Source organism: Homo sapiens, chromosome 21 (genome assembly GCF_000001405.40).
Source record: "Homo sapiens chromosome 21, GRCh38.p14 Primary Assembly".
NCBI lineage: Eukaryota > Metazoa > Chordata > Mammalia > Primates > Hominidae > Homo > Homo sapiens.
Window position 1 is genome coordinate 44,874,718 of NC_000021.9, and position 26,591 is coordinate 44,901,308.

The 26,591-nt window shown below is 55.8% G+C and overlaps 1 protein-coding gene across 5 annotated transcripts in view, besides 4 other annotated features; it reads right to left on the reverse strand.

The window, feature by feature from the left end:
- Window positions 6,717-7,011: a silencer, noted in NCBI's record as "tiled region #2317; K562 Repressive non-DNase unmatched - State 6:EnhF". NCBI's record gives its function as "represses a minimal TATA promoter and a strong SV40 promoter by Sharpr-MPRA in K562 cells {active_cell/tissue: K562}" and the evidence as "EXISTENCE:reporter gene assay evidence [ECO:0000049][PMID:27701403]".
- Window positions 6,717-7,031: a biological region, named in NCBI's record as "Sharpr-MPRA regulatory region 2317".
- Window positions 6,882-7,031: an enhancer, noted in NCBI's record as "active region_18579". NCBI's record gives its function as "activates an Ori minimal core promoter by ATAC-STARR-seq in GM12878 lymphoblastoid cells {active_cell/tissue: GM12878}" and the evidence as "EXISTENCE:reporter gene assay evidence [ECO:0000049][PMID:35858748]".
- ITGB2 (integrin subunit beta 2) overlaps window positions 11,236-26,591 on the reverse strand; it is a 42,863-nt gene continuing 27,507 nt past the window's right edge. For all 5 annotated transcript variants that reach the window (NM_001127491.3, NM_000211.5, NM_001303238.2 and 2 more), the window contains 10 exons: window positions 25,603-25,758; window positions 24,350-24,445; window positions 20,254-20,343; window positions 18,687-18,827; window positions 17,092-17,279; window positions 15,261-15,505; window positions 14,559-14,778; window positions 13,976-14,178; window positions 12,019-12,185; window positions 11,236-11,713 (listed from right to left, as the gene is read on the reverse strand). In NM_001127491.3, coding sequence (NP_001120963.2) covers window positions 11,651-11,713; window positions 12,019-12,185; window positions 13,976-14,178; window positions 14,559-14,778; window positions 15,261-15,505; window positions 17,092-17,279; window positions 18,687-18,827; window positions 20,254-20,343; window positions 24,350-24,445; window positions 25,603-25,758 — 1,569 coding nt within the window. In that variant the 3' untranslated portion in view covers window positions 11,236-11,650. The remainder of the gene's footprint in view (window positions 11,714-12,018; window positions 12,186-13,975; window positions 14,179-14,558; window positions 14,779-15,260; window positions 15,506-17,091; window positions 17,280-18,686; window positions 18,828-20,253; window positions 20,344-24,349; window positions 24,446-25,602; window positions 25,759-26,591) is intronic.
- Window positions 22,701-23,316: an enhancer, noted in NCBI's record as "H3K4me1 hESC enhancer chr21:46317333-46317948 (GRCh37/hg19 assembly coordinates)". NCBI's record gives its function as "activates a minimal SCP1, AML or CMV promoter by ChIP-STARR-seq in primed H9 embryonic stem cells {active_cell/tissue: H9 hESC(primed)}" and the evidence as "EXISTENCE:reporter gene assay evidence [ECO:0000049][PMID:30033119]".

Below are 26,591 nucleotides of genomic sequence, written 5' to 3' on the forward strand. Positions count from 1 at the left end.
GCACCCTTCCCTGAAGCAGGCACTGCCCGTCGTCCATCAAACGCGAGGACTGCGCCCACCTCGTAGGAAGGACGCCGCGGTCCTGCTAAAAGCCTCCGCCTCTGCCTGCCCGAGGGCACCCTTCCCCTCCCCGCTTCCGAGGGCGGACTCCATTCCTCTGGAGCCGGTGTTTCCGGGTGGGCCAGCCTCCAACTGCCTTTGAATAACCCCCCCTTACATTAGATTCTGACCCTGTGGTGATTTTAGGTTGGGATTTGGGCGCCTGCAGATGGCTCCGAAGCCAGCCTCTTGTGATCCGAGCCACTTCTCTGGCACTCGGAGCGCTGGCACCCGCGGAGCGGCCTTGGTTCACCGGACCGCCTGGGAACCTGGCCGGGGTCTCTGGCAGCCTCCCAGGGCTGAGGTTCAGACTCTGTTCCGCCTACCCAGGTCCACACCTGATAGGGCTGGAGTTGAGGCTTGGTTTTAAGGCAAGAGTTTCGTTTGTTATTTCTCCAAAGAGTCAGCTGTTTGCAGGTGTGTGGTTAACACTATCCTTCGAGGTTAAGGTTTTGTTCGTCTTGCTAAAGTTTGCAACCTTTTTTGTCCTTCAGATTTGGAGAAGGGGAAAGCAGTTTCTCTTTGAAAAGAAGCAGCGAATCGTGGCTTAAGCAAAATTTGTAATCCTTAAAACTGGCCAGGCTCTGGAGCTGAGTTCAATTTGACATGTCTAAACTTTCTTCTTGAGTAACCAGATTTTCCCTTACAGTCTTTTGTCACTTAAGAGAACTCATAGGCAATCGTCCATCCAAAACAAGTCTTTCTCCTTCAGGGAGGACCCATCTTTGGAAACTCCAGCTGGTTTCCTGTGCAGTGCTTATGGTGCCACCTCTCGTTATATTTAGAAAAATGGTCTCACGTAACTTGAGAAAAAACATTTCAGTGACCAAAGCCGGGTACCATTGGAACACCAAGGTAATTTACTTGTTTGCTCAATTGGAAAACGCTGGCTCTAGGATAAAACGGAATCTTTGGGAGAGTTATTTTTTATGGTAGTTGGAAGCATCCAAAAGAAGTTCTAATAAAGGTATTTATGAGAGAAAAACAAAAATTATCTAAAATAATTTCTGAATTTAAAAAAGACTACTGAAATTTCTCCCCCTCCTCCCTCAGCTCCTTCTCTTTATCCTTTGTTGTCTGAATTACCTCGCCCAGACCCACCTTTCTTCCTCCTCCTCCTCCTGTTTTGGGGCCATTGCTCAAACAGCCAGTGTCTCTCATAGGGGACAACTATGTGCCCTAGTTCATGAGTTATGGTCAAAGGTAGAACTTAAAAGTATAATCAAGGAATTTCCTGATGCTCACCAGGACCCCACTGGTTTTCCCAGAGAATTTAAATACCCGAGTGTGTGACCCTGCCTCTACTTTGGGAAAAATAATTTTTTTTTTTTTGAGACGGAGTCTCGCTCTGTTGCGCAGGCTGGAGTGCAATGGCTCAATCTTGGCTCACTGCAACCTCCGCCTCCCAGGTTCAAGCGACTCCTCTGCCTCAGCCTCCCGAGCAGCTGAGACCACAGGCACGCACCACCACGCCCGGCTAATTTTTGTATTTTTAGTAGAAATGGGGTTTCACCATATTGGCCAGGTTGGTCTTGAACTCCTGACCTTGTGATCCACCTGCCTCAGCCTCCCAAAGTGCTGGGATTACAGGCGTGAGCCACCACGCCTGGCCATAAAAATTATTTAAAATAGTTAACACGAGTTCCCATTGCTGACATAAGCTTTTGCTGATAGAGCAGCCGTGTTTTCTGTAATAAATCCCATCTTGTTACAAGGTTCCATTCCTTGGAGTCAAAAAAAAGTTCAAAGGGTAGGTGTCACTAATACGCCTGTAACGGCACGTAAATCTCAGCCTATAGCTTTTCAACTAGGTCCTTTACAAGGGACTCACATTTTCCTTCTGGTTCTATCAGCTGCCAGCCATCTTATAAAAGGAGACTTCTTAGAATTACAATATCCACGTTTCTTTCTCCCAAAGGGGGAAGACGTATTTAGAATTAGATGAGAAAGCTGAGTTACTAGACATAAAAAAAGTTTCAAAATCTAACCCAATTGCGATCCCTAATTGCCCTAGAAGACACTGAATTATTGAATAATGAAGAATTACAAAACCTACTAAAGGCAGTACTTGATCAAATATGGTCAGAGTCTTCCACTGATACTGGAAGAATCCTCTTGGCTACCCCGATCAAAGTCCTTTAGTGTAGTGGACTTATTAGCACATCCTTCAGTAGTTCTGTGTGTGAAAGTGTTGATTTCTCTTTACCTTTACTTGGGAAGGCAGACAATACACACAGACAGCCATGCTCAGGGCTACACTGAGAGTCCAACTGATGCAAAGACAGTTGTCTTACATACTGACTTGTTCTTTTTTTTTTTTTTTTGACGGAGTTTCGCTCTTGTTGTCCAGGCTGGAGTGCAATGGCGCTACCTCGGCTCACTGCAACCTCTGCCTCCCGGGTTCAAGCAATTCTCCCACCTCAGTCTCCCGAGTAGCTGAGATTACAGGCATGCGCCACCATGCCTGGCTAATTTCGTATTTTTAGTAGAGATGGAGTTTCTCCATGTTGGTCAGGCTGGTCTCAAACTCTGAACCCCAGGTGATCCGCCCACTGCAACCTCCCAGAGTGTTGGAATTACAGGCGCGAGGCACTGGGCCCAGTCTTTTGACTTGTTCTTAAAAAAAATTTTTTATTACAATACATGGGCAGTTTACTCCTTTGCTCAGAAGATAAGCAAAGCTTTTATAGAAGATGGGATACATTCATTACAACAGCCCTAAAGGGACATAAAATTCCTAAAGAAAAACCTCAATTTTATAAAAAACAAAGTACTTGGGCCACTTAATATCTAAAGAAAGACTTTCTACTAATCTAGATAGACTGAAAGGAATTTTAGCTTTCCACCACCAACAACCAAGAAACAAAAGGATGTGGAGGACTGGCAGGATATTATAGAAATTGGATCCCAAACTTTTCTTTAAAGCTCAGTCCTTATACGCTCTCTAAAAACAGGACATGCCAGGACTTTAGAGTGGTCAGAAGAAAATACACCAACATTTGAAATGATCAAACGTGACCTTGCTAATGCTCCGCCTTTGGGGCATACAAATTATAACCTTCCATTCTATTATTTGTATAATACATGAAAGTGGTGGAGATGCTTTAGGGGTTCCTAAAACACTGTTATATGTAAAAATTGTTATTTAGAAACAGAATGCTTGTTCCCAAGTGCTGCAAAGACACAGCACTCGAACATAAATTTAATTCTCTCAGCAAGGCCATTTTTACTTTCTGCAGAAGGGGTGCTCATCACAGATGGAACAATGGCGAGAGCACACCTGAACAAAGGAGGGAAGCCATTTTCATCCCTGCCGCTGTTTGGCCCTGCTACTGTGTCCTGTCTCCATTGGCTGGAGCCAGACCTCACAATCTAAACTAAAACCCGATTGGCTAACAGTTTAAAACTTTTCTAAATAGGTAAAAGTAATGGAAAGACAAAGGAAAAGAGGAAGTTGCTTAATACCAAATAGGGAAGGGGCATAGGCTGCGAGCTGGAATGTGCCTGTGGGCAGGTCCAGCACAAATATCCTGGTTAAGGTTCAAGGACATAGAATGTACTACGTGCCCGTGAGCAAGTGTAACAGCTACACAGGCTAGAGCTTAACGAGCAGTTATTAGCACGAAGCCAGGAGGCTTGAAGGAAGTTAGTTTTTAAAAGAAACTATTATTTTTAACACTTATGATTTACTCTTTAACAAGAAGGGAAACTTTGAAGAGGAACTTTTTGCTTTCTACAAACACAAAGATCGAAACAGACAATCATTGCCACAGTTCCCTAAAATATAATCCAGGAAAACCATTATAAGGACATTTCCCTTTACCCGAGGCCCTTGTGAGTTATGACCATTAGATGCCATGCTGTTGCCACCCTCAGAAACATACAAACATGTTCTGATAACAATTTACTTGTTTTCTCACTGGGCAGAGGCATTTCCATGCAGAAGAGCACTGCCTTAGCAGTGAGTAAAATTGCTGTAGAAAAAGGTATTGCAACCTGGGGAGTTCCTCTGGAACTTGTAGCAATAGAGGAACTCACTTCGCTGGACGGATGATTCAATCAGTATGTAAACTTTGGCCCATCCTCCAGCATTTCCATTGCGCTTACCACACCCAGTCATCTGGGTTAGTGAAATGCACCAATGGAATAATCAAAACTCAGTTGGCAAAATTAACCAAGGCTTTTCAAATTCCTTGGTCAGAAGTTCTTCTACTGGTTCTGCTTAATCAGAGGTCGACCCCTTTAGGTAAACACCAGTTATCTCTGCTAAAAATTAGGCAGACCCATGAAATTATCTCCAAGAAACTGTACGTCTATGATATTAAAGGGAGACATATTCAGCTATTGCAGTGCCCTTGCAAAACATTAATGAAAAATTATAATTGGCAAAAATAATCTTTTCACAGTGAGCTCCTGGGAAACAAAAATTTCAAGGACCACAGACTTCAACCAGGAGATTTTGTCTATTGGAAATGACATTTTTTAAAAAGTCTCTGCAACCTGCTATGGACCTTATCAGGTACTCCTGACCAGCCTTCACCATAAAATTAGAAGACGACCCTTGAATTCACATCTCCCATCTAAAGAAATCTGAGCCTCGGCTGGGCGCGGTGGCTCACTCCTATAATCCCACCACTTTGGGAAGCCAAGGCAGGTGGATCACCTGAGATCAGGAGTTCGAGACCAGCCTGGCCAACACGGTGAAATCCCATCTCTACTAAAAATATAAAAATTAGCCAGGCATGGTGGCGCACCTGTAATCCCAGCTACTCAGGTGGCTGAGGCAGGAGAATTGCTTGAACCCGGGAGGCAGAGGTTGCAATGAGCCGAGATTGTGCCACTGCCCTCCAGCCTTGGTGACAGAGTGAGATTCCATCTCAAAAACAAAGAAAACTGAGCCTCCGAAATGGGCTCTTGTACCAGAAGGTGATACCCTGGGACAGCTGGGACAGTGTTCTTTGGGTTATGCCGGTCACAAGGTCAAATATTTCATACCGTTTCACACTCACCAATCTTCCTCATCTACAGTCTTGTCAGATTCATCCTGTATTCCATTGGTATCATCATTTAGCTTCTGTCTTTCTGCCATAACTGGGTATTGAAGGCGTTACTTGACACGTAGAGGCCCTCACCAGTTACACACAAAAGGCCTTAAGATATAGCCAGGTATCTCATGATTAAATGATAAACTTACCTGAGAAAATCTGTATTATAAAACCATATGGCTTTAGACATACTCACCGCAGCTCGAGGGTAACCTGTGCTATCGTAAAACTAAAAGCTGTGTCTGTATCCCAGATAAACCAAATAACATCACTAAATTCATGGCTGATGTGAAATCCACATAAACCAACCTTTCAGAGCCAAAACCTCCTCCAAACAACTGGCTAAATAGCTGGTTGGGATCTTGGCAAAATTAGTGACAAAAACTGTTAACTTATTCTAGAAATTACAATCATTTTTTACGTTTGTCCTGTTTGCTCAGGCTCAGCATAAAGGGATAAAGTGGATGCAAAGGGACCTTAGTGACAGCAAACTGTGTCTCTGACCCACGTCTTCCAGTTCAAATACTTTACATCTTCATTGGGATCTTCGATTGTATCAAAAGATGTTTAAAAAGCCATTTGCAGGCCAGGCACAGTGGCTCATGCTTGTAATCCCAACAGTGGGAGGCCAAGGCAGGTGTATCACTTGAGGTCAGGAGACCAGCATGGCCAACATGGTGAAACCCTGTCTCTAGTAAAAATCCAAAAATTAGCCGGGTATGGTGGCACACACCTGTAGTCTCAGCTACTTGGAGGCCAAGGCAGGAGAATCTCTTGAACCCAGGAGACAGAGGTTGCAGTGAGCTGAGATCGCACCACTGCACTCCAGCCTGGGCCACGGAGTGAGACTACATCTGAAAAAAAAAAAAAATCAGTTTGCAGAAACAGAATAAACACAAGTCTAGTTTAGAACTATGCCCCTGAAACAATACAACCACACAATGCTAATTTAATGGTATTTGATGGACATTAGGTGTTTGTAAACATTAACCAAAACTCGGTGAATATCACCACATTTTAAACAATGCACAATGGCATTTTAAAATATAACTAAGTTCTGGGACAACTTAACAATGCAGAAGTTCAAAAAATGCATGGTATAACCCCAGTTCCTGTTTTAACCGCATGGAAGTCAAGATTTAAAAAGAGGAAATGGGAGGCATTGTGTAATTTAACATGTCTGGAATCCAAAGATACATATTCAATTGTCAAAGAGCTTCAAGCTCAGAGGAATGACCCAAACGGCACATTGTACAGGAAGTACAACCGTTATGACTCTTTACAGAAACAGGATGATTACTTAGAGCAGTCTGGAATTAAAAGTGCATATGTCTTTCCATGAAGAAAGATGGTTAGGGAATTAAACTGATACAGTCACAATGGTATCAACTTAGGAGAAATGACAGCCGAGCCCCAGAGCAATGGAAAGGGCTGTCCACAGGACCAGACAGCCACAGTGGGCTGGGGCCAGAGAGGGGAAGTTCCAGGGTCCCCACCTAGTTGTGCATATTGGAGTCACCTGCCAGGGATTTCCACCAGCGGGTTTATTTGGTGGTTAAGTGTCTGTGCAGTTGGATTTTTTTTGTATGTGGTCATTATGAGTACATTCCTTAGTGGGTGACTTCCAGAGAGGCTGCATAAAAAGAGTGAAGCTTCTGGCAACCCATTAAACCACCAGATGCTTAACACTGGGGAGAACAAGGAGAGCACCTGAAGGTCCCAGACTTTGGACTCACTTTGGAAGGGGCTAGACAGTGTGGAGCCTTGGACAGGCAGGGATCAGCAGGGTCTGGGGTGAGGCATGGAGGGAGGGAGAGAGGGCTGGGCCCACAGGCCACAGCCCATTTCCCATGATGGGACTAAGCAGCGGTGTGGAACCTGCACCCCTGGTATGTGGGAGGACTCCTGTGGGGCTGCACACGGTTGGCAGCTTCATGGCTTCAGAGCTGGTCTGTGCCACGCGAGATCTCTTGTGCTCAGGAGTTTGTCCTTGACCAAGGCACAGAGAGTTCCGGTTGCCCATCCCTTGCAAGCAGTTATGATTCTCAAAGCACTTCCTGTGCCAGCCTCTCTGCATCCTCCCAGGGCCAAGCTTTAGTGATCCCTCCACCTATACTTTTGACAAGACAAAACACAGCTTGTTCCAGGTCAGGCAGCCAGTAAGAAGTAGAGCTGGACGTGGACTGGGGGGGCTCATCCTTGGAGTCCGTGCTTCTTCCCCATGTCTCAGGAGCTCCCCTCATTTCTCTGGAACAAGGTTGGAACGTCAAAAAGACCTTCTGAAAACTGGCAGGAAAATGTCAGAAAAATCACAAAATGGATTGAGGGCATCTGACAGTTTGTCTTGCTAGAGGCACGTCTGGGGGTGATCCAGGCCCTTGCTGCAATCACTGAGATGGATCTCGAGCAGGGGCACGTGTCCTAGGACCCTGGCTCAGGGCCTATTGCCCACTGCATGGTGATATACCAGCACACTGAAAGAGAGGGAGTTGCCACAGAGAAAGTCCAAGACGCGTGGGCAGCCAAGCGAGGAGATGGGAGGAAACCTCAAACCCACCTCCCGAGGGGCTTGGGGATGGTGTTTTTCAGGGGTCTGGGCAGGTGATGGGGTCTGAGGCGTGGGGATCGCTGATTGGTGAGTATGAGTGGTGAAGTCACGGGATAGGGGATGAAGAAACCACATTCCTGAGCTGAGTCGGTTCCTTGGTGGGGCCTTCAGACCAGTTGGCGTCAGCTGTTCTGCTGGAATTCAGGGTGTGGGAAACACCTTAAGCAATTCTTGGCTTAAAAGGTCCAGGCTCAGAGATTCCACCTGTAGGAACAACGGGGAGCAGGTGATCCGTGTGCCTCGTGACTCTTGTTAAGTTAGCAGCTGCAGTGAGTTGGGTGGTGGTGCCTGCCACACCCTGGTCAGTGCCTAACTCCAATTCTGCCCAAAGCCTGCGTTGGAATTCTCAGTAACCCTGTGAGGAGGGTTTCACTCAGGGCTGGCATCTGATCTTTGCCGGACGTGCTCCAGGCCAGGCCCTCTGATTGCCTGGGTCACCTGAGGTCACCCTCCCCCATCCCTCCTTCCTGAGAGGGCATCACCACCCCGCACACACCCCTGTAGACCATACCTTGATGTCAATTTTTTTTTTTGAGATGGAATCTAGCTTTGTTGCCAGGCTGGAGTGCAGTGGCGCAATCTCGGCTCACCACAACTTCCGCCTCCTGGGTTCAAGCCATTCTCCTGCCTCAGCCTCCTGAGTAGCTGGGATTATAGGCACGTGCCGCCACACCAAGCTAATTTTTGTATTTTTAGTAGAGATGGGGTTTCACCATGTTGGCCAGGGTGGTCTCGATCTCCTGACCTTGTGATCTGCCCACCTCGGCCTGCCTCCCAAAGTGCTGGGATTACAGGCGTGAGCCACTGCGCCCAGCCAGTGTCGACAATTTGACCTCCATCTCCTAGCTTTGTCTAGTGGTTCTCAAACTACAGCGTGCATCAGTATCCCTGGAGGACCTGCAAAGCCCAGATTGCTGAGCCCACCCGGAGTGCTGCCGACTAGCTGGTCCAGGGCCAAGCCAAGAATGCGCCTCTGACAGGTTTCTAGGTGAGGCTTGTTCTGCTGCCAAGGCCAGCCTTGGGGAACTGAGGCTCAAGGCCAGCGGGTGTCCACCCTGGCTGCACAGCAGCCTCCCCGAGGAACACTGAACACCAGTCACGGCAGCCCTTCTCCGACAGGGCAGGGGCTTTTAAAGCCCCAGGTGCAGGCTGAGTGGGGACCCCTGAGCTGGGAAGTGAGCGGTGTTGGAGCATCTGGCCATTTCTAGCTCCTCCCACCTGCCCAGGTAAAGTCTCCCAGGCATATACAGTAAGAGGTTATCACACAGTTAGAAGTTCGTTTTTGGTTTGTTTGTTTGTTTGCTTTTTTTTTTTTTTTTTTTTTTTAAGATAGGGTCTTTCTCTGTCACCCTGGCTGGAGTGCAGTGGTGCAATCACAGCTCACTGCAACCCCCAACTCCCAGGCCTAAGCCGTCCTCCTAACTCAGCCTCCCAAGTAGCTGGGACTACAGGCATGTGCCACCACACTACTAATTTTTTTTAATGTTTAGTAGAGATGGAGTCTCACTGTTCAAGGCTGGGTCGCCAGGTGTGCTGTGTGACTCTTGTTAAGTTAACAGCTGCTAACTTAACAGCCTCAGGTTCAAGGCCGATCTCGAACTGCTAAACTCAACCAATCCTCCCACCTTGGCCTCCCAACGTGCTGGGATTACAGGCGTGAACCACCGTGCCTGGCCACAGTTACAATTTTAAAGTAGGGGACCTAAAGCAGATGCCACCCACATGTGCCCATTTGCAGGTCTGCAGTGGCCCTGGCAGTGTGGCCAGCTGTGTGACTTGCCCAGACAAACTAAGGGGTTTCCCAGGACAAAGGCCTTCCTGTGCTAGAACTGAGACGTTCACCAACTGCAACCACGGCCAGCAGCCTGCTTGTGTCCAGAGCTCTCAGGCAGGATCTGTGTGGAGCTTGGTGCTGAATTCTGCTCTGGGGCCGTGAGCAGCTTTGGCACAGCCCAGGGCTGTTTCCACACGTCCACTAAAGCAGTACTGGCTCCCTCCCCTCTGAGTACCCCAGTGGGAGGCAGAGGGGGCTCTGTAGACAGCCAGAGGGGAGGTGTAGACACAGTTGGAGGAGAGGTATAGACAGCTGGGGGGGAGATGTAGATAGCTGGAGGGAAGGAGTAGATGGCTGAAGGGAAGGCATAGACACAGCTGGAGGGGAAGTGTAGGCACAGCCAGAGGGGAGGTGTAGATGGCTAGAGGGGAGGTGTAGATGGCTGGAAGGGAGGTGTAGACGGCTGGAGAGGAGGTGTAGACAGCTGGAGGGGAGGTGTAGACTGCTGGAGGGGAGGTGTAGACTGCTGGAGGGGAGGTGTAGATGGCTGGAGAAGAGGTGTAGATGGCTGGAGGGGAGGTGTAGACTGCTGGAGGGGAGGTGTAGATGGCTGGATAAGAGGTGTAGATGGCTGGAAGGGAGGTGTAGACTGCTGGAGGGGAGGTGTAGATGGCTGGAGAGGAGGTGTAGACGGTTGGAGGGGAGGTGTAGACTGCTGGAGGGGAGGTGTAGACTGCTGGAGGGGAGGTGTAGATGGCTGGAGAAGAGGTGTAGACGGCTGGAGGGGAGGTGTAGACTGCTGGAGGGGAGGTGCAGACGGCTGGAGAAGAGGTGTAGACGGCTGGAGGGGAGGTGTAGACTGCTGGAGGGGAGGTGCAGACGGCTGGAGAAGAGGTGTAGACGGCTGGAGGGGAGGTGTAGACTGCTGGAGGGGAGGTGTAGATGGCTGGAGAAGAGGTGTAGACGGCTGGAGGGGAGGTGTAGAATGCTGGAGGGGAGGTGCAGACGGCTGGAGAGGAGGTGTATACGGCTGGAGGGGAGGTGTAGACTGCTGGAGGGGAGGTGTAGATGGCTGGAGAGGAGGTGTAGACGGCTGGAGGGGAGGTGTAGACTGCTGGAGGGGAGGTGCAGACGGCTGGAGAAGAGGTGTAGACAGCTGGAGGGGAGGTGTAGACTGCTGGAGGGGAGGTGTAGATGGCTGGAGAAGAGGTGTAGATGGCTGGAGGGGAGGTGTAGACTGCTGGAGGGGAGGTGTAGACGGCTGGAGAAGAGGTGTAGACGGCTGGAGGGGAGGTGTAGACTGCTGGAGGGGAGGTGTAGATGGCTGGAGGGGAGGTGTAGATGGCTGGAGGGGAGGTGTAGAGCTGGAGAGGAGGTGTAGATGGCTGGAGGGGAGGTGTAGATGGCTGGAGGGAGGGCAGACAGGTACCCGCTTTCCTGCTTTGCCTCTGCCCTGGCCAGGCTCCGCCGCAGGCACCTCTTTGGTGGGGCCACCACCGTTTACGGAAATGCACCTAGGATTTGGGACAGGGCCTCAGAGCGGGGCTCTGTATAGACCAGCAGGTGAGGAAGGAAAAGGGAAAACAGAACCTGCCCCATGGTCTGAAGCCAGCTGTGTGCCTGTGTGGCAAAGGTCAGCGGGCAGGACAGGGCCCACGTGTGCCTGGCCACCTTGCCAGTCGGGGGAATACAGCGGACACAGTGCCCAGTTTCCATGGACAGCCTGTATTGAAGTTTTATTTTTTTTCTATACACGTGATTGATTAACAATATAATTAATGGGATGTCATTTTATACCCTGACAAGTTTAAATGTAAATAAATTGGCACCACCTTTAATCAGACTGATGTCCTGACTTGCACAGGAAACACGCACCTAACCTCACCAACCTCAAGCCCTCCCTCCTCAAGTCTCCATGCAAAGACTGTGCCAGTCAGAGTGGAGCTGTCCCCCCGACGAGCCCCCAGAAGCACCCGGCCGGCCATGGCTGTCATTTTGAGGGCGGAAAATAACTGGATTTCTGGTTAATTGGTGACATCCTCAAGAGCTGTGGCAAGCCATGTCTCGGCCGCGTGATGGGGCAGACATGGTGGGTCCTGACGGCCTTGTCTTCACCAAGTGCTCCTAACTCTCAGCAAACTTGGGGTTCATGACCGTCGTGGTGGCGCTCTTGAAAAGGGGATTATCCTGGTGGGAAATGCAAACAGGGGCTTGTGAGTGTGGGAGGTTTTCAGAGCAGAATCTTTCTCCCTGAGGACACTCCCCGCATGGAAGCCGTCACTTTGAGGAAGAGCTAGACGTGGGGCAGCCCCCCCAGGGTCCCAGCACCGGCAGCCAAGCTCACCCACAGCGGCGGACGCCCAGAGGACAAGCTGCCTGGGGAGGCCGGGGTGCAGCCACACACGGGTGTCCACGGCCTCCCGCAGCAGGAGGTCGCATAGTGTGGGACGCACGTGCCCCTCTGCGTGGGACCCCCAAGGACGGCCACTTACATTGTTCCACTGGGACTTGAGCTTCTCCTTCTCAAAGCGCCTGTACTCCCGGAGGTCGCTCAGGTGGATCAGAGCCTTCCAGATGACCAGCAGGAGAATGCCGATCAGCACGATGCCTGCCACGGTGCCCCCGACGATGGCGGCGATGTTGGGGCCTGCCACACACTCTAGGGAAGAAGCAGCACACCTGAGCGTCAGTCCAGCCCCATCTCACTGAGCCGTGTGCCCACAGGTCCGAGGTCACCCCACAACACAGCACTTAGAGAGACGGAGGTTCCCAGGGCCCCGGCTCACCATCCATCACCATGGCCAGGGGTCAGTGAGAACCTGGCCCAGCCCCTGCTGGATTCCAGGCCAGGCCCTGTGGTTCCAAATGAAACCTAAGGGCCATTGCCACCACCCCTGCTGACAGAGAAGAAGGCAGGGCCAGGGTACCGGGCAGCCAGGACAGAGTGCTAATACTGGGGGGTAGGACACAGTGCGAGGGACCCCGCTCTCCTACAGCAGAGTTCAGAACCAGGCTCAGGGTCCCTGCTGGAGTTCACTCCCCATACTGTGAAAGTGATTTGTGGTCGTCAAGGACAAGACCAGAGACCAGAGCTCAGCAGGTGAGGCCGGTGCCAGGATGAGCAACGCAAGGTCCTGGTTCCCACGGCAGCTGTGCCCACCTCCTGAGCATGGGGACTGTGGGCCATAGTGGGCCAGGCCCACAGCTGCTGACCCTGGGACAGACACTAGCGTTCAGTGCAGTCCCTGGCCTGGTCTGGCATCCTCACTCCCTGTACCCCTCCTGCCATCCTGACCTGCACCCTCACTCCCTGTGGTTGCTCCTGCCATCCTGATCTGCACCCTCACTCCCTGTGCCCCCTCCTGCCATCCTGACCTGCACTCTCACTCCCCGTGCCCCCTCCTGCCATCCTGCCTTTCCTGGGGGACCTGCCTTCCTTCACCTGTCCTCAAAGGTGAAGTGACTTGGCCAGGATTGCACAAACCAGACGTGACCCAAGTCTGTCCCTCAAAGTGGCCCGCAGGGGTTCCTGCCCTGGCAGGTGGGGGTCTGCAGCCCCAGGCCCACATGTGGGTTGTGAGCTCCAGGCATGTCACCTACAGGCTCAGAGACCCCCGCCGCCTGCCTCGGGTCCCTTCCTGGTGAGGGAGGAGCTCCCAGGTCTCAGTTCTGCAAGAGTCCTGGCCGGCTGCTGGCCATGCCTGATGGAGTCCGCCAGCGGCCCCCCAGCCCCAGCCCCTCTGCCTCTCAGGAGCCTGTGGAACATGAGACCTGAAGAAGCAGGGCCAGTGTCACCAAGGTCACCGTGGGGCTGGGCCTGGTTCCAACTGGAGCTGAATGAGACAGGGTCAGTGCCACCAAGGTCACTGTGGGGCTGGGACTGGTTCCGACTGGAGCCGAATGAGACAGGGTCAGTGCCACCAAGGTCACTGTGGGGCTGGGACTGGTTCCGACTGGACTGGAGCCGAACGAGTGATGGGGACGGTGGTGCCTGGTGGCCCTGGGCCCCTCCAGGGCTGAGAGCCGAGCACCAGGATCTCCCAATCCCCTCAAAGGAGCCTCACGCAGCAACCTGACCGCGGGCCACCCCTGGGGACCTGCAACTGCAAGCCTTGCCCCATGAGGCATCCAGCGGGAGATGGCCCGGGCCGTGTGGCATGCTGGTGGGCCTGCCCGGTGTGGAGCAGTGGTGCCCCCAGGGAGCAGGCCGTCTGCTGCCCAGCTTGATGTGGGGTCAGGTGAGGAGGGGAGGGAAAGGGGAGGCTGCTGGGGGTGAGGGGACCGGCCTCTGGCCTCCTTGCAATGCCAAGGGCATCCCGCATGGCTCATCCACCCTGCTGGGCCCACAACACTGGAGGTGAGATCCTCCTTCCGCACCACCCTCGCCTCTGCGGAGACCCCGCAGCCGGAGCTCTGGAGCCGGTCCCCGCTGCACCCCAGCGGCCTCACCTCGGCTCTCATCCACATAGATGAGGTAGCGGTCCATCCCGTCCTGCTGCTCCAGCGTGTAGGCCACCCAGCAGCCCTCTGAGTCCCTCTCCTTGCAGGTCCTGCCCTTCACGGGGTTGTTCGACAGCTGCAGGCCCGGACACGCCGCGCTGCAGTTCTTCCCAAAGGGGCCCTTTTCGAACTTCAGGCACTCGGCGCAGGAGCTGCGGGGAGCCAGGTGTGAGCATCGGTGCCAGGGTGTGCGGGGGCTCCGGCAACGGGGGCTCGGGCTTGGGTGTGTGTCCACCAGGGGGGGCAGGTGGGGTTGGGGCGCCCTCAGGCCAAGGAGGGGGCCCAAGTGGGGCAGATGCGGGTGCAGCGGGTGAACTGGAAGCCTGATCCCAGGGCCCGCGGCAGGTGCGCACAGGAGGGAGGAGGGACACAGGGGCACGGCGGCCGCGGAGGGCCCCTCAGTCCAGACGCACCCGCAGAGAACCCCGCGGTGCAGAGGTGCTCACTGGGGTCCCCGAGTGAGCCCGGCTGCTGGGTAGGTGGCCGGGGAGTGGGGATCCCTGCCCGCCCTGCCTGCTCCGCCTGCACTCACATGTACTTGCCACAGGGTGAGGGGCAGCCGGGGCACTCCTGGCACAGAGGCAGCTGGTAGCCTGAATGGCACTCGCATACGTTGCAGCGGCACCGGCCACGACCACTACACTCAACACGCCGCGGGTTCAGGCAGCCCTCAGTGGTCCTCTCGCACTGGCACGCTGAGCCCTCAAAGCCCGGGTGGCAGCGGCACTTCCCGCAGAAGCAGAGCCCCCTCCCTGGAAGACGGGGCAGCACGGCTAAGCTCCTGCTTGGCCTGGGAACCGAGACCCGCCCGAAACCCCACTGCGGTTGCTCCCTCCGGCCCGCCTGCCTCCTCCAGCCTGGGGGATGTTCCTGAGCAAAAGGCATGGGGCCACTAGCCAGGCCCTTCTGCCCCCGCCAGCCACGTGGCCGCCTCCTGGCCAGTCTGGACCTCCCCTGCCCTGCTGTGAATGGGACCTCAATAGGGCTATGACCGTTCCTCCTGTGGGCCCTCCCCACAAGGACGCCTTGTCCTCATGGACACAGAAACTGAGGCAGGGCGGGGTGCAGGGCCATCCAAGTTCCTGCTGACGCCCGGTGGCTGGGCGAGACTTGCACTGTCTGTCCTCAGGATCCCCCCTTTCTGTTCCACTCGTTGAATGGTCCAGAACGCACCCCCCAACACCAAGTCTGTGCCGCAGGACGGCCGTTGTCCAGCAGGGACCCACGGGCTCACCCGGGCCGCCGCAGACCTGGCCGTTGTAGCGCTCACAGTTGATGGTGTCACACTCGCAGTACTGCCCGTATATCAGCTTGCCGGGGACGTCGCTGGTGTGGCACAGGCACTGCCCGCAGACACAGTCCCCCAGCCCTGAGCAGATGATGGAGTTGTTGTCCTTCCGGCAGCTTCCTTCCAGCTCCTGGCTGCTCCGGCCCTGTGTCTGGCACTCACAGTTTTTCCCAATGTAGCCAGTGTCACACCTGGGGACAGGAGGGGCCCCAAGGTCAGGCTCCCCCCAGTGATGTGGGACAAGGGACAGCCGCCCTGTCCTCCAGGCCCCTTGCCCTTGGTGGAGAACACCCCTATGGCACATTTTGCTTTCCTCGAGGCCTACTGAGCACTTGCCACGGACTAAATGTGCTCAAAACGTGCAGGGGCCCCGCGTTCCCTCCCCAGGATGTCCCGAGGGGAAAGCAGACACCTGGCCTTGGCCTGCGCATGCAGTGGCTCGGCAGGCTCACTGTGGAGCTGTGTTGCAGCCATGCACATGGCCTGTGCTGCGATACCGGTGCTCTGTGAGTGGCTGGTGTCTGCTCCTGCGTGCCCCACATGGTGGCCAGTGGGGACTCGGCACTGCCTCCTGCCACAGCCCCGCCCTCCCTCCTGCGTTCGTGCACTGACAGGCCAGGTTGTGGGAGAATGCAGGGACAAGGGGTTTTTACAGATGTGGAAGCTGGCATCAAGCCGCTGGCAGGCAGGAGCCACACACACCCTGAGGCATCCTCAGAGACGGCACTGCCACGGGCTCTCCTGCTCCCCAGAGGAGGAAGCTGCAGGACCGAGTGTCTGAGTACCTGTGGCAGGGCACCCCCCGACACCTGCCAAGTGTTCCGACTGAGTCACCCCTACAGTCCCGTGAAGAGGCCGCCCCAGGGCTGCACACCCAGGACAGTGGGCGGGGTGGCCACTGAGGCACGAGGACAGCAACAGAGACCACCAAGACCACAGAGACCATCATTGTCCTGAGATATGGGAGGAGGCTGGGGGCAGCAGGGACCTGAAGGTGAGGAAGGGCACTGCCACCAGGACGTGGATTGGCACTGCGGTCAGGACAGGGGAGGAGGTGACCAGAGCAAAGGGGGCAGAGTCCTGGGAGGTCAGCCTAGCAGCTCTGGCCAGGCAAGCAAGGAAAGGGGGACAGCCATCCAGCCCCCGGGCAGGCCGCCTGGCTGAGTGCCATGTGAACCTCCCCACTGGGTCCACCTGTCCCCCACTTCTCCCTGAGGTGGGGTGCCCACGCCTGGCAGGGGGTGTGCACGCCCAAGAGGTGGCCTATGGGGCCCAGGCTCCCAGAAGCCATCACCTGTCCCAGGAGGCTCTCTAGCCACCCATGCCCCAGGGCTGCCAGCCTGATGGCCTTGGGTCCCCAAGGTCAGAGAGAAGCCAGCTCCTAGGGTCAAGGAAGGTCGGGCAGAGAAAGTGACCCACTCAAGGCCATGGGCACGCCCAGCGGGGACTCCTTGTGCCCCTGAGATGGGCCTCCATCCTCTGGTGAGGGGGTCCTCCTGCCCACAAGTCCCCTGCCTTGGGTCCTCCATGGCCAGAGAGTGTAGAGTACAGGCTGGCATTGCTGGTGCCCTGGCTCAGGAGCACGGGTGAGGGCTTGCCGAGGGGTTCTGGGTTCCAATCCCAAATCTCCCCACCTCCTGCAGAAGGGGGCCCCCAGGATGCCTGCTCCGTGGGGTGGGGGAAGGGATGGAGCCACCTGCACCCACCTCACCTGCCGACACCTGCCCTGTGGGGTGGGGCTCGGGGATGGTTCAACAGGGACCTGCGCCCGCCTCACCTGCAGATGCCGCACTCCAAGAAGCCCTTGCCATGGCAGAGGCTGCGGTCTCTGCTCTGGTCCCGGCACCGGCACTCACACTGGGGAAGAACCTGCACGGTCACTATGTCCGTGAAGCCCAGCGCCCGGATGACAAACGACTGCTCCTGGATGCACTCTGTGGCCGTGACCTTCACCTGGAAGGTGATCTGCAGGGCAGTGCTGGGCTCAGGTGGGGACCCTCGGTGGCCAGGGTGGCAGCCCAGCTCCCAACCCTCACCTCCTGGCCTCTGCAGGGGTCCTGGGGGGTTCAGCGTGGGGAGGAAGGGGTGACCAGGAGCAGGAAGAGCTGATGCTCAGATCCGAGAGCCAAAGTCAGCCGGCAAGGAGGTGCTCTGCCCGCACTCCCGCACTGGCCGGCACCAGGATCTCCCCGGCCACACATCAGCAGAGACATGTGACACGCAGACAGCAAATCAGGAGAAGCTGAGCACACTCCCACTCAGACCACCCAACATGAGGGAAACGTTCTGGTGAGAATCCATGGGACAGCTGGGCGCCGCGGCTCACGCCTGTAATCCCAGCACTGTGGGAGGCCGAGGCGGGTAGATCATCTGAGGGCAAGAGTTTGAGACCAGCCTGGCCAACATGGCGAAACTCTGTCTCTACTAAAAATACAAAAATTAGCCGAGCGTGGTGGCACACGCCTGTAGTCCCAGCTACTCAGGAGGCTGAGTCAGGAGAATCACTTGGATTGTAGTGAGCCAAGATCGCACCAGTGCACTCCAGCCTGGGCGACAGAGCGAAACTCCATCTCAAAAAAAAAAAAAAAAAAAAAAATCCACAGGCAACATTTACCAAGAAACATGTTTGAAGGAATTCCAAAGTCATATTAAGAAAATGCAATGAAAGCAAGTGTCTTGCTGAATATTATTTCACAGCTAGCAAAAAAAAAAACAAAAAACAAAAAACAAAAAGAAACAACAAATGATTGGATAATAAACTTAAACCTGAAAGATTAGAGAAGGAACTCAGTGTCCATTCCTAACCACCTGTGTGGCCCATGCCTTAATGTTTCTGTCAAAAAAACAGAATGAAACACGCAGAAAATCATGACAACTAACCCTACCCAGGTTTGCCGTTTGCGCCTGTTCTGTGTGTCCGGCGTCTGCCCCCAGGGGGCGCAGCCATCACTCCATCCCTCAGTCTGCAGTGGCCTGACCCAGGGATTTGGGCTCCAGGTTGATGAGTAGGACTCTTGGGGGCCAAGGCGTGTGTGAAGAACCCTCCCAGCACCCTCTCACTGAGAAGCACCCTCTCGGCACCCTCTCACTGACGTTCCTGACATCAGCTTCACAAGGAAAGCGTCTGGCCTCGGCAGAGAGGATGTGAAGGAAAGAAACAGGGTCCTTCCAGTGGATGCTGCCTGCTCCCAGACAGCCTCTGATGCCTGTGTGCCCCTCCCTGCCCCCGTCAGAGTGCTGGGATGGGGACCCTGGCTCCTTCTGGCTGTCCCCAGGACCCCTCAGTGTGCTGGGATGGGGACCCTGGCTCCTTCTGGCTGTCCCCAGAGCCCCTCAGCAAGCTGGGATGGGGACCCTTGTGGCCAGGCTCACCGGGACATTGATCTGCACGCCATCACAGTCACCTCTGGGCTGGTTCCTGTGCGTCACTCCATTGCTGCAGAAGGAGTCGTAGGTGACTTTCAGGGTGTCGGGGAGGGCGTTGTGATCCAGGAAGACCCTGGAGGAGAGTTTCTGCGGGCAGAGAGCGGTTACTCTTGGGGGCGAGTGTTTCTGTTGTCCTGGCCCTGCCTGGCCCAGCGGTTTAGACCCGTCTCCACTTCTCCTCTCAGTGCAAGTCCCCAGTGTCAGCTAATGACACAGAGGAGAGCACAGCAGGATGTGCTGAGGATGGCAGGGCTGCCAGGGCCACAGTCCTGCCCTCGAGACAGCCTGACCACAGGGACTAGCATGGAGCCAGGGTGTGAGCCTCAGGGGTGGGAGCTTCTGCTGCTCCTCAGCCTTGAGTCCCCAGGACCTAGCACAGGGCAGGAGCTGCATAAATTGTTCAAGCGATAAGAGAGATGGGGAGAAACAGAGAGAGGCAGAGACAGACAGAGATGGGCAGAGCCAGAGCCAGAGACAGAGAGATGGAGAGAAACAGAGAGAGGCAGAGACAGAGACAGACAGAGATGGGGCAGAGACAGAGAGAGACAGACAGAGAGAGACAGAGAAAGAGAGACAAAGACTGAGAGACAGACGGAAATTGAGAGGAGGCAGAGGGACAGGTTCATAGGGGCATCGGGTGAATGGCCAGGGCAGTGGCGTCACCTGCATCCTCTGTGTAAGGACAGAAACACCTCGGGCAGTGGCTGGCACCCAGGAGGGTCTGCTCTGGGGGTTTGGGGCTCACGGGAGGCTACGAGAAGCAAATGGCACCTCCTCCACGGGCCTTCAGTTTAATTCAATGACCCAACGTTTGTCGGAGGCGCTAACGTGCTGAGCTCCCTCAAGCCAGCAGGACCTTTGGCCTAGAAGGATCCAGGCCAGAATTCTGAGAACATCTCTCACCTGGGGGTAGATTTCCAGAGCAGTCGGGACCTCTGGTGCCTGGGGCCCTGAATGGCACCTAGTGCGCACCTATGCCTACCTATGCCCACCAGGGCCATGGGCTCCCCAGGGGAGCAGCCCAGGGTGCAGCTCGATGGGCCGTGCACCAGGGAGAAATTCAGGGGTTAAGGGCTTCTCTGGAGCTTGCCCAGGACAGGTGAACAGAGCAAGAGGAATTCCACCCCCCAGGGTGTCTTCCCAGGGCCCAAGTCCACTGTGGGGGTTTCCTGTGGCCTCCTCCTGCCCCAGCTGCACTGTTTGCCACCAGAGCTGTCCACCTCCCTTCTCCATAGAGACCCGCAGAGAAGAGTCTGGAATGAAGAGTCCGGAGCTCAGGTTTCAGGGAGCATCGCCCACAACATCAACGAGAGAGGACCCAGAGCTCCCCGTGGAAGTGCCGGGCCAGGGTGTCCTGGAGGCCTGAGGGCAGGTCGGGAGGCTGCAGCTGGCCCACGGGGCAGGGGCTTTCCTCCCAGACCACCCTCCTGCTGACCTGCAGCAGGAGCTGACCTGCAGTGGGGAGATTGCTGGCCACCCCATGGGTCCCAGCTGAGTGGTGCGGGAGACTCACATTGTAAGCATTCTTAATGAGATGGACCACATTGCTGGAGTCCTCAGACAGCTCCCCCACGGCTGACTTGGGGATGATCTCGGTGAGTTTCTGTTGGGCAAGAAGACCAGACATGGCACGGCTAGGACCTGTGCCACGGCATCTCCACGCACTGGGCTCACCCCAGGGGCTTCTGCACCTGCAAAATGGCTGGGACGGTCCTCAACGCAGTTTTGCACTTGGTCCCCAGAGTGTGTGGTCAGTGATGTGTGGTAAGAGGTTCTTGGGGGTAAAAAGCCCTGAGCTGCCCAGGGGCCACGCCTGGAATACCAGTACTCGGGAGGCCGATGTGGGAAGATTGCCTGAGCCCAGGAGTTCAGGACCAGCCTGGGCAACATAAGAAGACCCCATCTCTACAAAAAGTACAAATATTAGAGTGGTGTGGCGTCACATGCCTGTAGTACCAGATACTCGGGAGGCTGAGGCAGGAGGATCACTTAAACCCAGGAGGTGGAGGTTGCAGTGAGCTGAGATCGCACCACTGCACTCCAGCCTGGGCGACAGAGCAAGACCTTGTCTCAAAAAAACAAAACAAAACAAAAAAAACCCAGGCCAGGCATGATGGCTCACGCCTGTGATCCCAGCACTTTGGGAGGCCAAAGTGGGTGGATCACTGAGGTCAGGAGTTTGAGACCAGCCTGGCCAACATGGTGAAACCCCGTCTCTACTAAAAATACAAAAATTAGCTGGGCGTGGTGGTGGGCACCTGTAAGCCCAGCTACTCAGGAGACTGAGGCAGGAGAACCCAGGAGGCGGAGGTCGCAATGAGCTGAGATCACACCATGGCACTCCAGCCTGGGCAACAAGAGCAAAACTCTGTCTCAATAAAATAAAATGAAATGAAATGAAATGAAATGAAATGAAATAAAAAAATAAATAAAATAAAATAAAATAAATAAAAAATAAAAAAAAAATTACTGTTGCATCATGAGGATAAGAAAAGAAAGCAAAGCCCTGAGCTGCAGCATTGTCCAGGCCTGCCCGTGTGAGTCCTCCTGCCTGCGGTGTGAGTGATCCCGCCTGCGGTGTGAGTGCTCCCGCCTGCGGTGTGAGTGATCCCGCCTGCAGTGTGAGTGATCCTGCCTGCGGTGTGACTGCTCCCGCCTGTGGTGTGAGTACTCCTGCCTGTGGTGTGAGTGATCCTGCCTGGTGGATTTCAAGCTCGCAATATCACTGGGTTGGGAGGACGTGCATGGTGGCCAGTGTTGGCCAGAATTTCCACCACACAGGTAGGGAATTCCTACCACCACACAGATGGTAGGCGGAAGTAGCCCCACGAGGGTGGATCACAGTAAAATCACCAGGAAGCCATCGGCTCTTGGCACTCTACTGAGTTTCCATGGGTGTTAAACAGCCCGGTGACATCGGTTCTGGCCGGCCAGATGCACAGGGGCGCAGCCAGCCTCCCCCATGCTCACACATGCTCAGCTTCTTTCATGGAAGATTGCGGCATCATTTCACCTTCCAGGAACACGGAGCAGATGGTCGGGTCACCTCCCCGCCCAAACCCTCCCATGACTGCCCTGCATGGGCCCAGTCCCTTCCATGGAGCTCCTGGGGCCGGTCACAGCCTGGCCACCACCCTCCTCTGCGCCCTCCGCCCACCGCCCACTTCCATCCGTCCCAGTCTGGGGCCATCCCTGTCTTGGGAGAGCTGGGCCCTCCCACATCCTGTCCTGCTGAGCCTGCTGTGCGCTTGGTGCAGAAACACACTCGGAGGGGGCGTGGCACGTGTGTCCACACTCGCTGCCTGTTGCCTTGACCACCCCCGAAGGTGACCAGGAAAGGCTGAGGAAGGCTTGTGTGCCCCAAGGCTCAGCAGTAGGCATGGGGTGCACTCTACCTGCCTCCAGTGCCTGGCCCTGGTGCCACACCATCGCCTGGAGTCTGGCTGCCATGACAAATGGCAAAGGATTGGGACCTGCTACTGCTGGTGAGGAGGGGACCGTCATGGCCACCTACAGATGGGACACAGGGCTGTGACATCCTGACCAGCAGGTGGTCTCTGTGGATGTCCGGCCCCAGCCCTGCCCTGCGCTGACCCACTGTCCCGGCAGCCTGACCAGCTCTGGGTGCCCACTCGGAGGGTCCCCCAGACACCTGCCCCCATCCCGTGTCTCCCGCAGGGTCCTGCTCCCACTCCAGAGCCCGGGGAACCTATGGCAGGAACCGCTGGTCTCGCTGTCGGCCCCAACACACCACGAGGTTGAGCTTGTAGCTGGGATACGGGCCTGACAATGGATCCCTGTAGTTCAGCAAATGTTCACTTTACAAAAGCAGCGGCCCTCCCGGGCACTTTCCTTCCCCAAACCCCGAGTATGTCTCCTCAGCCTAAGCAGCAGGGCAGGGGCTGTGAGGCTGCCCAGCTGGGCAGAGCCCCAGGCAGGGGGAAGAGGGGGCCCTGGTTTCCTGCGTGCCATTTTGAAGAAGATGGCGGTGATGGCCCTGGAATGGCCAGCAGGTCGGTCACTGTCCGGATGAGGATAATCGGGCCCTTTAGGGCGGCTGCTCTGTGAATTCCCTGAGTGGGTGAGCTCAGTACCCACGACGCACTGCCCGCCGGGCACCACTACCCCTTTCACAGATGAGGAAACTGAGGGCTCGGGGTAAGGAAGGGCCTGGGGCGTCCTGTGGTAAGTAACAGAGCTGGGTGTGAGGTGAGCCACCCAGGGCCCTGTCCACCCTGAAGAACGGGGCACGTGGCTGTGTAAAGTACAATGACAACTATCTCGTTCCTCCAGCTCCACCCTGAAGAACGGGGCACGTGGCTGTGTAAAGTACAATGACAACCACCTCCTTCCTCCAGCTCAGTCCTTCTGTCCCTGTGGCCTCAGGGCCACACACTGTGCAGGCTGCTATGGGCGGAGGCTCCTTTCAGGAGGGCGTGCAGTGTTTCCTTCCTTCTAGCGAATCCCTGTTACACAGTCAGGGCTCCACCCAGCAGGCCTGGCTGGCCACACCCCACACATGCCAAAGAGTGGTAGACCCCGGCTGAGCTCCTGAGAGGTAGCCTCTGAGCCCTTGGTACATCCTACCCGATGGGGGTGTCATTGTTCCTGGGGCCTCAGGTCACACCGGATAGTCCCACAGTGTGATTTGGGGTGGGGCCCTGGACAGTTTTCAGCTTGACCTCTGGAGGGCTAGAGACTGAGGTCAGCCATGGGGTGTCAGCCGCGCCGCTGTGACTGACCCCCAGTAGACACCGAGGCTCAAGAGCCTCCTTGGGGACCATGTTCTGTGCATGAGGCCACACATCATCGCTGGGAGGATGGAGCGCCGCCCACACCCCTGCAGGGAGGGGACACTGGGAGCTGGTGCCTGGTTTCTCTCCTGTGCACCTTTGACCTTTGCTGACTTTTGTCTGTATCCTCCCACCTCGGGCAGCGGCTGGCACCCAGGAGGGTCGGCTCTGCAATAAACTGTAACTGTGAGTTTACTGGTTCCTGAGCTCTGCAAGTCCTTCCGGCAAATCACTGATCCTGAGAAAGGTCTTGGGAACCCCAACAGCACCTGAGCGTCTTGACGCACTGACCTGCTCAGGCTGAACACATGGCACTAGCAGCGGAAATGCAGGATGAACGTGTTTCACTGGGGGCCTCTTTTTCTAGGAGCAGAGGCTGGTTATCAGCTGTGCTTCCTTCGTGAAATTCATCCCACTCCGCACTCCAAGCTTGTGAACGTTTTTGTGTAATTTTATCTTCACGGAGAGTGTTGATGTTCAAATGTATGTGAGCATAAAATAAGTGTGTTTCCATAAAATAAAGAATTGTGTTGTATTCCAGGAAAAAACAGAAATATCACCAATGCCAAGACATGCTGTTAACACAGCTGAGTTTCAGGGACGGGGAGGAATTCCTCCTCCTATCGACACGCAGGCGTCCTGTCCCCGACGGGAAGCCTCGGGCTCCTCACCTAGGGGGATCCAGGACCTGGGCCGGCTGGTTGCTCACGTGCCCAGCATGCAGAGGTGGCGCTCAGACCTGCAGTGGCGCTGGGTCTGGCCTGTGGCTGAAACATGCCCCCACCCAATGGATGCTCGGGACCCAACAGCACTCACCTCGTAGGTCTTCACCATCCTACTGGTCACCGCGAAGATGGGCTGGATGTTGTTTTCAGCCAGCTTGTGCGCCAGCTGGCCCACCGATGGGTAGTCCTGGAGAGAGGAGGTCCTGCTCAGTTGGCCCCGAGTCCAGGACAAGGCTTCCAGGTACCCGCCCCTGTCTGCCCCGCTCAGCGTCAGCCCTGCCCGTGCTTCGAACCCTCTCTGGGGAAGGCTGGAGAGGCAGAGGCTGCCACGCAGGAGTGCAGGGCAGAGAGCTGCCACGCCCTCTGGGCAATGTGTGCATAGACTCGGGCTTTCAGAGTCCAGGCATGAGCAGCATTTGAGGCGTCTCACCGTGGGACTGGGGATGTCCACGGGGGCAGAATCCCAGCCTTCCCCACACGGTGGACCTGCTTTCGCACTGAGGGACACTCAGTTTCGGTAGAGGCCATGAGTGTCAGGTGCGGCTCTCCCTACCCGAGTTCCGGGACCCGAGGGCCGTCCCTCCCGTCTGTGGCTCCCGGCGGAGGACCTGAGTCTTGTATCTCTAAAGTCCTTTGCGGCCCCCAGAGCCTACAACGTCAGGCTGCAAGAGCGTCGCACTACGGCCAGCGAGGACAAGCCCCTTGTGACCAGTGGTTGCCTCTCGGCCCACGGCTGATCCCAGCCAGAAGTCCTGGCCCCTCTGAGCCATTGAGATGCCTCCGCAGAGAGGCTCATCCTAACCCGTGCATCCTGGGCTCCTTCTCGCCTCTGTCCCTCCCTGCATGTTCCTCATGGTCCCCGCAGCCGCTCACCCAGCTCAGGCAATGGGGGCAGGGAGGGGCCACACTGGAGGAGGCGGACTCAGGGGCAGCAGGGAACGTACAGTGGAGGCCGGGAGGGGGAGGAGGCGGATGCTTGGGGATGGGACCCTGGCCAGAGGCGGGGACGGCAGGGTGCAGCCGTAGCCTGGGGGCGGTTACTATACCTCCACAGCAGCTGTCAGCCCAGGTAGGGGGGCAGTGGGGCTGGAGACCAACAGAGCCTGGGTGTCCCACAAGGGCGAGGCCGGGCCTCAGCCTGGCTGCCCCCACCAACCCTACCCTCCCCTGGCCTGAGGCCAGTCCGGGGAGACCCCACGCTGCCACTTGGGGCTTCCAGAAGTTTCCTCAGGAATCTGCTCCTTGGGTCAGAAGGAGGCTCTGTCAGGTGGAGACCCCACCCTTGTCTCCTCCGTCAGTGGTGTCCTGCCAGGCGGTGCCTGGGTGCCTGGGGTGGGGACTTACGAATTCGTTGCTCCTCTTGTACAAGTTGTCCTCCAGGTGACAGCGGCCGTCGTTGGGGGTCAGGATGGCGCCCAGCTTCCCGTCGCCCGCGAAATGGAAGCCGTCATCAGTGGCAAACACCAGCAGCCGCGTGACGTTGCGCCAGCCGATTTCCTCCTGAGAAGAAGGCGTGGGGGGCAGGGTTACCTGCCTCAGTTTCCCAGACCCGGCCCTCTGGAGCAGAGGAGACGATGCAGAGCTGGTGGGGTGGCCCGGAGGCTGGTGTGGGTCCCCCTTTCCCCTGGGTCTCAGGGACCCAGCTGTGTTCCCCCAGACGCCACGCCCAGGAGGAGACAACGGCCCTCAAACACCCCGTGCACATGTGAGGCGCAGGGAGTGGAGGCACGTGTGGAAAGGCAAGGAGAGAGACACGGCTGCGGTCCCTGCACTTCAGAGCTGGGAACAAACCCTCAGGAAACCATCCCCAAGGGGAAAAACCCTCGCAGACGTGTGGGCCACACGCAGAACGAGTGCAACATGGAGGAAAACGAGCCTGAGGGGCCCAGCAGGCCTTGAGTCCACCATTGACAGCCCCTGGCAGGCGCATGTGGGGGCCGTGCGTGTCCTAGGCTGTGACCTCACACTCGTGAGCAGTGTGTCTGCGCTGGGACTGCAGGGAAGCAGGAGAGCTAAGGTGGGTTGTGAGGGGAGGACAGTGCATGTGGCCTCAACATGGCCCAGGGACTGTGGCTGCTCTGTTAGGCTGACAGTCACAAACTGGGTGGGCGGGACGTGGAGAGCGACACACACTGGGCAGCCAGCGCCCACCCGGCCTGGAGGGAGGAGGGTGGTTCCACCCCAGGAACCACGGGACCTGCTGCCTAGCGGCCCTGTTCCACCCTTGGCCGCTCGCAAAATGTTTAGGCTTCATAAGGTTTGCCCAGGGTCACAAATTTAACTCACAGCAAACAATGAAATCAGCGCATGATTTTCGAGCCCTCGTGGTCACC